This window comes from Homo sapiens, chromosome 10 (assembly GCF_000001405.40).
Source record: "Homo sapiens chromosome 10, GRCh38.p14 Primary Assembly".
Taxonomy (NCBI): Eukaryota; Metazoa; Chordata; class Mammalia; order Primates; family Hominidae; genus Homo; species Homo sapiens.
In genome coordinates, this window is record NC_000010.11 from 59,996,506 (window position 1) to 60,009,875 (window position 13,370).

The window sequence follows — 13,370 nt, forward strand, 5'->3', positions numbered from 1 at the left end:
TTGTGTGAATTTAGGTTAGTCACTTGACCTCTTCGAGGCTCATGATTCTTGTGCAAAAAGTAGGAAAAATTATTCATACTCCCATGGGTTATTAGAATTAAATAACAGTTATACTACTTACTAGCTATGTGACTTTGGTCAACTTAAGCTTTCTGTGCTTCCATTTCCTCATCTATGAAATGGTGTAATACTCCTATCGTACAGTGTTTGTGTGAAGTAAAGTGCTTACAATGGTGAACTCTATATAAATGTTAGCTATGGTTACTATTCCATGAATACGTAGTAGCCACCAGTGTGCACAGGCCTTGATTGGGACATTGACAAGGTAGAGAAGAGAGTCAGTCTCCAGCCTAGTTCTTCTGTGCAGGCCAGAATTCTTATCGGCTTCTGCATTTGCAGAAGACAATATGAAGGTTACTCAGAGGTGAGTTACACTGTTCTTGTAAGGATCTGCTGCGGATGCATCTGAGAGAATGTAAAACCATGAATTTTTGCTGAAAAAGTAAAAGAAAATTCTTAGAATGAAAATATTTTCTTGGGGTAAAACAAATGCCACAGATGTGTAAGTGGGAGCAATCCTAGAAATAGATTCCAGTGAAACCCATTCAGTGATAAGTTTTATTTCTTTTTAAACTTTTAATTATTTTTTTTTTTTGGTTTTATTTCTTATAGTCCTTGGTAACACAAGCCCCATCCTCCTCATGTGCATGATTTATTTTCCTCGGGTGATGAATGTTTCCTGGGATGAGGGGCCCAAACCTGTTAAAGTGATGCAGTTCTCATGTTAACAGGAAACAGCAGATAAAATGTTTCCTAGGGTACGGTTATCAAAGACCCTATCTCAAGATTTCACTCAATAGGCTGCCCAGAAACAGTCAATTCTTCAACATCCCCAATCCCCAAACTTTCTACTTTTGAGATTCAACATCTTCAGGGATGTTTAATTCAAGAAACAAGAACAGCATCTGATTTAGAAAAACATACTTTTTTTTTTTTTTTTTTTTTTTTTCTGAGACAGAGTCTCGTTCTGTCACCAGGCAGGAGTGCAGTGGCGTGATCTCGGCTCACTGCAACCTCCACCTCCTGGGTTCAAGCGATTCTCCTGCCTCAGCCTCCCGAGTAGCTAGGAGTACAGGTGCCTGCCACCATTTCTGGCTAATTTTTGTATTTTTAATAGAGATGGGATTTCACCATGTTGGCCAGGCTGGTCTTGAACTCCTGACCTCAGGTGATCTGCCCACCTCAGCCTCCCAAAGTGCTGGGATGACAGGCGTGAGCCACCACGCCCGGCCACACGTTTTTAGGTACAAAACTGTGTTGTCATTTCCCTTTTAGCTTTTTTTTAGTTCTTTCCTTGATCCTGGAAGAAGGTAGGGATTTACAATCACATTTTATTGGTACTTTTCTCTATCACACAGATGATAAATAAACGAGAAGCCGTTTGATCTATAAAAGTGAAATACACAGCTCATCCTTATCCAGCAGCCTGCTTGGACTGGTTCCAGCTGCTGTGAACTGCTAGGGCCCTGGAGTTGAAAAAGCAAAGCAAATCTCTTACACATTGTGGGCTTGGTTCTTTGTGGAGGGATAGAAACAACAATGACCTGATGGACTATTGGCTCAATGGGTGCTACTGAGGGCCACAGAGAGAGTCTGTTCTTTTATTGCCCCCAAGGAACTTTAATTCATCTGAATGTTGGAGTTCAGATTTTGTACCTATATTTTAGCTAGTTTTTGTTTTGGACTTTAATCAGAGATAGTCATAGCTTCCAGTAACTGACAAGGTTTTAACATTTTCTCATACTTTCCTACAGTCAATATCAACCCTCATGTGGGTCACATACACCTTTGAGAATCTGAAAAAATTACTAACTCCCTCCCCTCTTTTTCCACTGACGGCACTTACACACAAACACACAAAAGGCTTCAGAGTATTAGTGGACCCTCTGACCACTCAACTACTCAACTCTTTACAGATCCATGAATCTCTTATTAGATTATATTTTTCCCTGTGATTTTTAAAAAGCATATGTTTGAAAACATTGATATATTTTTTATTTTTCAAAAATAGAAGATTAGTTATTTTACCATGACCTTTTATGTGAAGATAAAATCAACTGAGGGTTTTTTTAAGAAATAAGATTTAATTTTAATTTTAGGACACCTACCTTTTAAAATTCTTAATATTTTAAATCTCAAATTTAGAAGCAGAGAAAGTTACTTCATATTCTAAAATCTATAACATTTTATAACTAAAATCCAGGAAATTAATTGAAACTGACCTAATAGTCCCATAGATAGTATTTGGATAAATATAGAAATTAACCCTTCTGGTCTTAAAGCTTGAAGTTTACATTTGTTATATCTGAGTTCCTTCCTCAGGAAATGACTTTCAGACCTCTCAAGAAAAAAAAAAAAAGTATCAAAATACTGAGACTTATCAGAATTTCAGGCTAAAGCAACCACATCCAGACAATGAGATATGGGATCCTCATCATGATTGCTTCTTTGCCCCTCCCTAGTTCGTATTTCCTTACACATTGTTAACATTTCTTCCCTGCTATATAAACCCCTAGTTTTTGTGGGTCAGGGAGTTGGATTTGAGACTGAGCTGCCTTGTCATTGGCTGCAACACCCAATTAAAATTTTCTTCCATGGCAATACTTGTCGTTTCAGTCATTGGCTTTCTGTGTGGTGATCAGCAGGACCTAGACCAAACCCCTGGTGTTTCAGTGATATAATCATTAGTTTAGTTTTCCCCCAACTTAAATTTTAATATATGTAAACTAATATGCCTGCAATATAATAGAATGGCATTTATTTTGTCCATTTAAGTAACCTCTAGTATTATATTAAAAGTTTTATGAGAACCATATTGATCAGATATTTTTGGTGAACTCCTGCTCACTTGTTTGAGCTGGAGGTGTGAAGGATTCCTTACTTTCCATTATCTCCTACTCATGTTCAGTGATGTTAACAGAATCATCACTTTGGGTTTTAGAAGGTAGTTTGTCATTGGCAGGCAGTTATGGGTATCTAAATCTTCCTTCTCACTATCACACTGAAAATATTTAACCTCTTAAGTGTTCCATTTAGGTGCTTCAGGTTGTTTGTGTGGTTTTTTTTTTTTTTGAGATGGGGTCTTGCTCTGTCACCCAGGCTGGAGTACAGTGGCACAATTATGACTCACTACAGCCTCAAACTCCTGGGCTCAAGTGATCCTCTTGCTTTTTAATTCAGTCTCCTGAGTAGCAAGGACTATAGGTGCATGCCACCATACTAGCCTAAGTTTTAAAGTTTTTTTGTAGAGATGGGATCTTGCTATGTTGCTCAGGCTAGTCTCAAACTTCTGGGCTGAAGAAACCCTCCTTCTTCCACTTTGCAAAGTGCTAGGATTACAGGCGTGAGTCGACTGTGCCTGGACTTAATGTTTTATGTCTAGGTATTGTATACTTGGGTGCCTTCAGGGTCTGGATTCCATCATGAAGATTGGCATCTGCTTTTTACTACTGCTGCATTGATATGTTATAGGCCATCACTTGCCTCCCTGTTCCTGCTGTGAATGGTGACACCAGGGCTAGTTGACCAACCAGTGAGACCTCATCTTTTAGTACATAATCATCACAAATCTTGGCATAGAGATAATGCTCAAAATAAGGATGTGAAGGGAGGGCAGAAATGAGTATGTGAGCAAATGTGCCTATTTATAACCTGAAAAACTAACTGGGGACATTGTTTCTTGTCAATATCTCTAATTTTTACTCCTGTCTCCCTTGGTGGATGCTATGGTTTGAAGGTTTCCCACAAAGTTCATGTGTTGGAAACCTAATCCCCAATGCAACAGTGTTGGGAAGTGATGCCTAATGAGGAGAGATTAAGTCATGGAGGCTCTGCCCTTATGGTTGGATTAATGTTGTTATCGAGGGAGTGGGCTCGGTATTTTGGGAGCATTTTTCTTATACAAGTGAGTTAGGCCTCTTGCTGTCTTGATCTTGGTCTTTCTTGCCCTTCTGCCTTATGCCATGGGATGACACAGCATGAAGGTCCTTGCCAGGTGCCAGCACTATGCTCTTGAACTTTACAGCATCTAGAATTGTGAACTAAATAACTCTGCTTGTTATTAAAAAGAAAATCTACTGGTCACCACTCCTCTGGCACATTTGGGATCCCCTACCAGTCATCACAGGAATTGTGCTTTGTGTGATGTCAAGTTGATAAAACTCCAGTTTTTTGTGAGTTAAGGATGCCTGTCTTCTCTGCTGTTAAGCTGACTTAGTGAGAAAGTTCATGGCCTAAGATCCTGGTCTTTCATCTTAGGTAGATGTGAGTTTAAATTTCAGTTTCAACACCTGCGGAAGCTAAAGCAACTCCATCTTGTATGCTAATCCACCATGTTGACTTCTGATTAACCCTAGTTCCAGGAATGCCTCTAAGATTTCTATTATATCATTTCCTGTGTAAAAGGATGTATTGACTCTTAGGTCTAAACATCCTTAACCAAAAATCCTGCCCTTATGCAGATTAACACAGCATTCTTGCCTTTCGCTATAACTATCCTACACATTACTCCCCTATGGTATGTAAGCCCTACGTCTGGAGGGTAATGGCATGGGGATCCACCATCTCATCTTGCCACCACCTGAGACGCAAGCATGGCTTCAGTTCTTAAGTCCCTATTAGGTGTTTCTTTCTGAGAAAGTGGCGATGTCAGTCTCTTTCTTCAACTTCTCCACTTTCTTGGACTTTGGGGCTAAGTTTGCACAGAGCTGTCCACCACGGAATAATACCTAATAATTCTGGCCAGGCATGTGGCTTACATCTATAATCCCAGCACTTTGCGAGGCCAAGGCGGGCGGATTGCCTGAGGTCAGGAGTTTGAGACCAGTCTGGCCAACATAGTGAAACCCCGTCTCTACTAAAAATACAAAAAAATTAGCTGGGCATGGTGGCATGCGCCTGTAATCCCAGCTACTCCAGAGGCTGAGGCAGGGGAATTGCTTGAACCAGGGTGGTGGAGGTTGCAGTGAGCTGAGATCGGGCCACTGTACTCCAGCCTGGGGTGACACAGCAAGACTCCGTCTCAAAAAAAAAAAAAAAAAAAGAGGAAAAAAAACCCTAATAAAAGTGCTACCACTTTTGCTGGGTTATTCTAAGAATTAAAGATAATGTATGTAAAACACTCTGAGGTACTCAATAAGTGGTAGCTGTTCCTACTATGACTTTCTAGCCGTATTCCCTATCTCTGAAATACTAAAGGGAACCAACAGGTGTTTGTTTGATTTGCTCAAATGTAAACTAGCAGAATATTTAATATTGGCCTGGGACAGCCATCATGGTATGGTAAGTGGGACAGAGAAAAAACAAGGGTTTCTGCCAATTGTTAATGCAGTTCTCATGTTGAAACAGTGCCCCTTTGGAAACACATTACAGTCGTTTAAGGACTAGATCATCCAAGGTGAAAGTTACTGTTACTCAGAAAAAAATGCAAGTGAGGTGAGGGGATCATTAGCTACAAGTGGAAGTTCTCACCAGTTTAGAAAAAATACTCCAGATCAGACTTTACCCGTGAGTGCAAATAGATTGCCTGTGATGGTTACAGTTATGGAGAAAATGGCTTCTTTGTATTTTGCAGCTTCACAGGAGACATAAGAAAAATTGATTTTTGCAGCTATAAAAACACAAAATCACGGTCTTTGCAGCAACATGGATACAGCTGGAGGCCATTATCTTAAGCAAATTAATGCAGGAACAGAAAACCAAATACTGCATGTTCTCACTTATAAGTGGGAGCTAAACACTGGGTATTCAGGGACATAAAGAAGGCAACAGTAGACACCAGGGACTACTAAGAGGAGGGGAGGGAGGAGAGCAAGGATTGAAAAATTAATAGTGGGTACTAGACTCACTCACTGCTGGATGATGGGGTCAATTGTATGCCACAACCATCGTGCAATATACCCATGTAACAAACCTGCACATGTACTGTAAAATAAAAGTTGAAATTATTAAAAAAGAAAAAGGAGAATTGATTTTGGGTTTGTCTTTCTTTCTTTCTTCCTTCCTTTTTTTTTTTTTTTTTTTTGAGATGGAGTTTTGCTCTTGTTGCCCAGGCTGGAGTGCAATGGCACAATCTCGGCTCACTGTAACCTCTGCCTCCCGGGTTCAAGCAATTCTCCTGCCCCAGCCTCCTGAGTAGCTGGGATTACAGGTATATGCCACCACGTCTAGCTAATTTTGTATTTTTAGTAGAGATGGGGTTTCACCATGTTGGCCAGGCTGGTCTTGAACTCCCAACCTCAGGCAGGTGATCCACCTGTCTCGGCCTCCCAAAGTGTTGAGATTACAGGCATGAGCCACCGTGCCCGGCCTATTTTTATTTATTTATTTTTTTCTGAGTGTGTGGGGGGGAAAGCTTAGTACTCTTTTCAGGATGCTGCTTTTATTAGTTTTAGGCTGGATTGCTTGGTCTTTGAGGCCCTACTCTGGGAAATTAAAGGCAATCTCTTCGTATTTCTCACATGGAATTGATAAGGGGCAAAGACCTGAATTTAGGCCTCATTTGGACACACTGTTCACATCATGAAAAGTAGACTCAATATCAGTCCTTGGAAAGATTTGGGGCAAATCTTTTCTGAACGTGCATATGAGCAGGCTATCTTAGCTATTTTTACTGTGTCCCACATCTGGAAGAGAAGGGGGCACAGTGGAATCCTGAGGGTTTAATTGTGACCCCAAACTGACTCTGTCCATATTTAAATTAAGTCCACTTGTTTTTTGTTTAAGTTGGCTCAGTACTATTTTTGCCCAAAAATCCAGGTGCTTTCTGGAGTACCAGTTGTTTTACTCAGTGTTTGCCCAAATTAGTCTTTTTAGGAAAGAGAGCATGTGGGGACTCAGACCAGGATGGACTGTTGAGTTATCCTTGGCCATGAACCCTGCCTCACATTTGCACTTTGGGACAAGGGCTCTGGGACAAAGTAGGTTCACACAGAAAACTCAGCTGGCTCCTTTCTGAATAACTGAAATGCTAAAGATTTTTGCTATCTGAACTGTTGCAAATGGTTTCTTTTCTCTCTTATCCTCTCTGTAGTTGACACAGATACAAAGTCTCTCTGTACTTGAGGGTCGATGGATGCTAATTTTCTCACTAATTAGCGAGTAGCTGCCAGGATCATTACATATGGCTGTGTAGGTTGAGCATGGCATAACTCCAAGGGATGCTATTCACATAACTACAATGTGTTTGGTGCCCCTGGAGTTGAGCACAACTGTGCCTAGAAGCCATTGTGTCTGCTTTAAATGCAGAGTAGCAGGGGTTTGCAACTCCATTTCTTATGGTAATTGCACTCCAGATGTTGCCTTTTTCTGGCAGAAAATGGTGGTTCCCATTTTTTAGTTTTTGCAGAACGGGAGCAGTCAGGGGTCCTTGCTCTAAGAATTCTAAGGATTATATGGTATCTCTCCTTCACAGCTGGTTCCCAGAAACCTTGATCCATCAGCAACAATTTGGTCCTGGCTCAGGGCCAAGCTGCTGAGATTCTGCAAGGTTCCTCACAGCCCCCTCTCAATGAATCAATCCTTTGGAGGACTAAGATGATAAGACACCTAAACTATTTTTTTTGGCTGAGTAGGGTGGGGGATAAGGCAAACTTTGAGATCCATGATCAGAGCTGGCTCCAGGCAAGGCTGAACTGAAACTGGTTTGCTTCCCACACCTCTCCATCCGCTGTTTCAAATTAGGGTTCTTTTGGCTAGAAGAGACCGAAATCCCAACTCTAAGTGGCTTAAATAAAGAGGATTTATTGGCTCACATTACTGAAAAGTATTTGTTGGCTTCAAGTGCTCAAATGATGTCATTAGAACCTAGCCACTTTCTCTCTTCTCCTCCTCTGCCCTCTTTTCCATCTCTCAGTTCTACTTTCCTATGCGCTGGCCTTATTCCCAGGCAAGCCTTCTGCATCTGGTGGTTTCCAGCACCTCCAGGCTTATGTCCTGCAATTTCAATAATACTAGAGGAAAGATAATTTCTCTTGGTAATCCCAGAGGAAAGGAGCTCAAAAGCTCTAAAAAAGACATCCTAATTCACACCAAACAAAAAGTACAACAAAAATATATGCCAACACCAAAGGATTGTGTCTCATGGTCTGGCTTGGGTTGTGGTTCATCACTGAATCAATTGCTATGGCCAAGGGAATGGAATCCTATGATTGGCCAGGTCTGAGTCATGTGTCCATGTGGTGGTTAGGGAATGTCTATCCTAAACCAAATAGACTCTGAGGGATGGAGGGTTAGTTGCTAAAGAAAAATCAAGATGCTGTCACCAGAAGAAGGAGGAATGTATATATTGACAACAAAACCAGAGTCATAAGGTTCAGGTCCTTTTCATCTTTTTTTCCTGAATCTATCATACAGGGTCAGTGGATTGGGCTTTTCACTGTGGACTCTACTTATATATGCCCTTCCTCAGATATATTTCCCTGTTTAGGGGTAACCACTGCCATTCATTAAGACTGTTTATACTGCTTTTACCAAAAGTCTAAAGGCCTTGTTAAATATCAATAAACATGTCTCTGCTCTTAACTTACTTGATCTTCCCATTACATACTGTTGACATCCATCTCCAATTAAAGTTGTCTCCTTTGTTGACTTTTATGACACTGGTATCCTTGTTCTCTTATTTTCCCTGATTTCCATAGATCTCTTTCCCTGATTTTCATAGATCTCTTTCAATGGCAGCACACTAGGTTAATCTACAAATTTATTAAACCACTAAACTTTTTTCCAGTCTTATCCCCATGATAGTCTTTAGATCTAGCATTTCTCCATCTCTACAGACACTTCATTGAAGCCCCATTATCTTTCATCTTTGATGTTGCTATCCCTTCTAATGGCTCTCTTTGCTTTTATTTTTATGCTTCCTTAAATCTTTCCTCCCAACTACTTCAGATCCTCTCAGTTTCCTCTGTTCTGTTCCCTACTTTTCTAAAGATAGTAATACCAGGTCCTCTATTAATTGACTCTAGATCTCCTCTCTAGTTTCATTTCTTCCTTGCTTTCCTCTGGATCTGTCACATTAAACATCTTATAGAGCCCATTATACATATTGCTTCAATCCTACATGTCTTTGCACATGATGTGTACTTCGCTTTTCTCCCACTTATCTACCTGGGGATCTCCTTTGGTCTTTCAAAACCATTTTCAGGCATCATGTCCTCTTGAAAGATTTTCTAACACCTTTACCATTCCACTCTGAGCAGAACGAATAGCTTTCTAGTCTCTGAATCAATTTATACATATGTTATTGCATATAATGTCCTATGTTTTAATTCCTTCTTTACATATATGACTTTTTTAAAAAACATGAGATTGAATACTTTTGGGTAGGACTTGCCATAGGCTCCACCACTCAATACTGATACATTAAAAAAAAAGCTGCCTCACACAGTTTCTCTTACCTTCTTAGCTACCAATGGCATTTGAGTTTTCATCCAAACTCTGATTAAACTATTAGTATGTAAGCTTCTTGAGGGTAGTAACCTTTGTCTTATTTGCTATGCTTATCAAATAGTAGTTACTCAATGAATAAGTAGATGAATGAGTGGGTAAAAAAGTCCATTGGATTGCTCAGAAACGCCTTACCTTTCATTATAGTCTTTTGTCAATTTAGCCACTTTGAGCACCATGATGGAGGTTAGATGGGATTCCTGTGGTCATCTCATTTCTAAGAGGTAAAGCCTTGAACTAGATATGGGTTTTTGAATGAGTCAGGCTAAAGCTCCTTCTTTCACAACACTTGGCCTCAATCACGGACTGGAAGATTTTGCTTTTAATACCTTGGCCAGTAACATGTATAGATTCTCAGCATTGTATATTAGTAGCCCTTTATATATAAACCTCAAGAAAACTGATCCAAGAAGACTGAAGAGCAAGTTCTAGAAACCCTGTGGGCCGGGAGTGCCTCTGTAAAATAACTTTTCACACTACTGAGAAGAATGTGAGAGGGAAAAGAATTAAAGAAAAAATAAGAAAAAATGTTCTCTTTCTCCCTCTAGCATCCTTTTGCTCTAATTTCCTAAGACCTTTCTGGCCTTGTCCCATGGCTTCTAGGTTTTATTCTTTTGTTTTAACACAGACATCGAATCAGTGTTTTTTATTGTTAGCCTTCGTTAAGTGTTCTCTGAAGATAGAGTATATAAATCAGAAACACAAAGGAAACCTTCTGTGAGGGAATCTTGGCATTTTGGGGAGGCTGCCAAACATCTAAGCCACCTTCTGTTTGGTGAGTCTGGTAGGAGGTGAGGGTTCCACCTTAAACTGTGGAAGTTGAAAAAGGCCAAATCCTTTAGACCGCTGACCACTAGGACACAACCTAAGTTCCTGAGCTTAGTCTGTCAGACCATCCCCGCCAGAACTTTGTGTCTGGAGTGAATGTCACAAAGAAGCAGGGACAGTTTCGGGTTCACACCAGTGCCAGCAGTGGTAGCATTGAGTGTCCTTCACAGTTGCAAGGTCTCCCTAACCAGGCTAACTGCAGCCTCGACCTCCCTGGGCTTCCTCCCAAATAGCTGGGACTTCAGCTTCCCGAATAACTGAGACCACAGGAATGTGCCACCATGCCTAGCTAATTTTTTGTATTTTTTGTAGAGATGCGGTTTTGCCATGTTGCCCAGGCTGGTCTTGAACTCCTGGGCTCAAGTGATCCACCAGTCTCAGCCTCCCAAAGTGTTAGGATTATAGGTGTGAGCCACTGCACTAGGTGATTTTTTTCTTACTCTTTTCCTCCTCCTCCTCGTCATTCTGTAGCCATCAATACCACTTCAGCTCCATTTCAGTTCAAGCTAGTGGATTACACTAGATACTTATATCTGAATCATGAATAATCAGCTTTCCTCCACATGGGATTGGCAAGTGTGACAAATACTGGTAATCACTTTGCACAGAATGCAAACATACCTAATACGATCCTCAGGGAATGTAGTTGCATGACAACAGCTTGAGACTTTAGACAAATGAGGGGATGTAAATATAAATATACTTAAAACCATTTTTTCCGTGCAGTACAGACAATAAGCAGACTTCAGATCTAATAGCAATCCACATAACTCAGTTTTAGAAGTCAATAAAATGTACTTAATAATGAGGTATCTTAAGCATTATGTGTTTTCTAAGATATAAACAAGTTTTACCCATTTTCCCCCTCTTTGGAGTAGGTGGTAAAGATGGACATTTTCAGTTCCATGTGTCAAGAATAGAAAGGCCTTTTTTGGTATACGTTTTGTTACAGTTTAATTTCTCTATAAACAATGTGAAATGTGTCTTAGTACTAATAGTTTTCAGAGTAGTTATAATGGGGCACATTTAAAGATAAAGAATGTTTTTGACTCACAATCCATTTGCTCCCTGCCATTTTTCTATCTTTTATTCCTACCCCACCAGGCTGCATTCCTGCCACAGTGCAAGGAACCTTTAAAATGACTTATTTGCTATGTCTGCATAGTGTTCAACCTGACTCTATTAGGGCCATGGTAATTTAATTTCTAATCAAAATTCTGTGTCTGACTAAAATAACAGCTACCATTTATTTTGAGGATCAATTATATGGTAGACTGGACAAGGATATATTCTCTTGAATCCTCAAATACCCATGCAAGGTAGGGTTAGTGTCCTAGCTATATATGGAAATAAAATTTGCCTACAATCCGAGTTAGGATTTGAACCCATATCTGTCACACTGAGAAGCCTGTGCCTGTTCACTTCTCCATACTTCTACCTACTTGCTTGATGTCTTCAGGAGACTTTGTGACAACAGAACAAGTTCCTTTTAACTAGTACTTAAATTAATCATTTTGTTGTTTTAAAACAGACTTAAAAAGAAAAAAGAAAAAAAAAAGAAAACTTATAGCACCCAGAAAACTAGAGAAATCAGAAGAAAATAACTCTTTGGAGTCTAATATTCCTACTTTCCCCTATTGGGTACAAAGTAGCAAAGAAATAAAAGCAGCAAAGCACTGGAATTAAGAATGTCTAGGCCAGGCGCGGTGGCTCACGCCTGTAATCCCAGCACTTTGGGAGGCTGAGGTGGGTGGATCACCTGAGGTCAGGAGTTCCAGACCAGCCTGGCCAACATGGAGAAACCCCGTCTCTACTAAAAATACAAAAATTAGCCGGGCGTGGTGGTGGGAGCCTGTAATCCCAGCTACCTAGGAGGCTGAGGCAGGAGAATCGCTGGAACCCAGGAGGCAGAGGCTGCGGTGAGCTGAGATTGCACCACTGCACTCCAGCCTGGGTGACAAAGCAAGACTATCTCAAAAGAAAAAAAAAAAAGAACACCTAGTCCCTTGGCCAAGAAAATAGTTGTGAAAAGCAAACAGACTTTGAATGATTTCTGATGAATCAGTGCCACTATACACTGTTGATAACAATAGCATTAAAAACAACCTGTGTTTTTGAGGCACTTTGTACTTTGCAGAAGACTTCGGAAGTCTAAAAGTGGTACCTTTAAGATGCTCCCAGAGTGAACAGCGCCACATTTGAAGGTGGCAGACCCAAGCAACAGGGAAAGCATTTAACAACAATCCTGAATTCTTTCCTGACTCACCTCCTATCCCAACTGCTTGGTTGCCAAACTCAGCGTTGCCTCTAGGTTAGTGCTGTCAGAAGCTTTCCAGTATCCTCATGAGAACACCCAAAGCCCGCCTTGACTTTGCTGCCTGCGATTACAGATCTTTAGTGTGGCATGGTCTCTCATCCATACCTGTAACTCAGCATGCTTTCTGGTTTGGGTCACTGCCCAGCTTGCACCCAGAAGAGGGAGTTCTCCCTTCCGATATCCTATTTTCTAGGGAATTCACTCATTTATGACTTGGTAAGCTTTGAACATTACCTCTTCATCATCCCAAATCGAATTAGATAAATCATCCAAGAACCAAAAGCTTCTTATCTTAATCAGTTGGCATAGTTAACTGATGTGGGCTCAACTCATAAAAATAAGTTCTGGATAGAAGTTTCCCATGACTCAACTGCTACTCCCCACCCAAGGTAGACACATATTTTATGACTCTGAACAACAACAACAAAATTTTCCCTTTTTCCTTGGAGCAGAAGTGGATTTAGAGAAATACAAATGAAATTGGAAACTATTATTCTAAGAGGGACCTTTCTACTTTAGAGAAGGGAGTCAGTGATTGACTTTAGAGAGGGGGAGCTGCATGGTAGAGAAGGGATAAAGTTTCTTAGGATCCTGCCTAAGGGGTCCTAAGGGTAAAGTTTCTTAGGATCCTGGGCTAGGAATGGAGCCCATTTGCCTTGGAGTGTGGGTGGGAGAGAGAAGACTGCTGGAGCCCTGAGGTCTTAGAAGCAGACTGGAGGCA

The 13,370-nt window shown here is 40.6% G+C and overlaps 1 annotated feature.

Annotated features, from left to right (window-relative positions):
* Window positions 6,873–7,619: an enhancer, noted in NCBI's record as "OCT4-NANOG-H3K27ac-H3K4me1 hESC enhancer chr10:61763136-61763882 (GRCh37/hg19 assembly coordinates)". NCBI's record gives its function as "activates a minimal SCP1, AML or CMV promoter by ChIP-STARR-seq in naive H9 embryonic stem cells {active_cell/tissue: H9 hESC(naive)}" and the evidence as "EXISTENCE:reporter gene assay evidence [ECO:0000049][PMID:30033119]".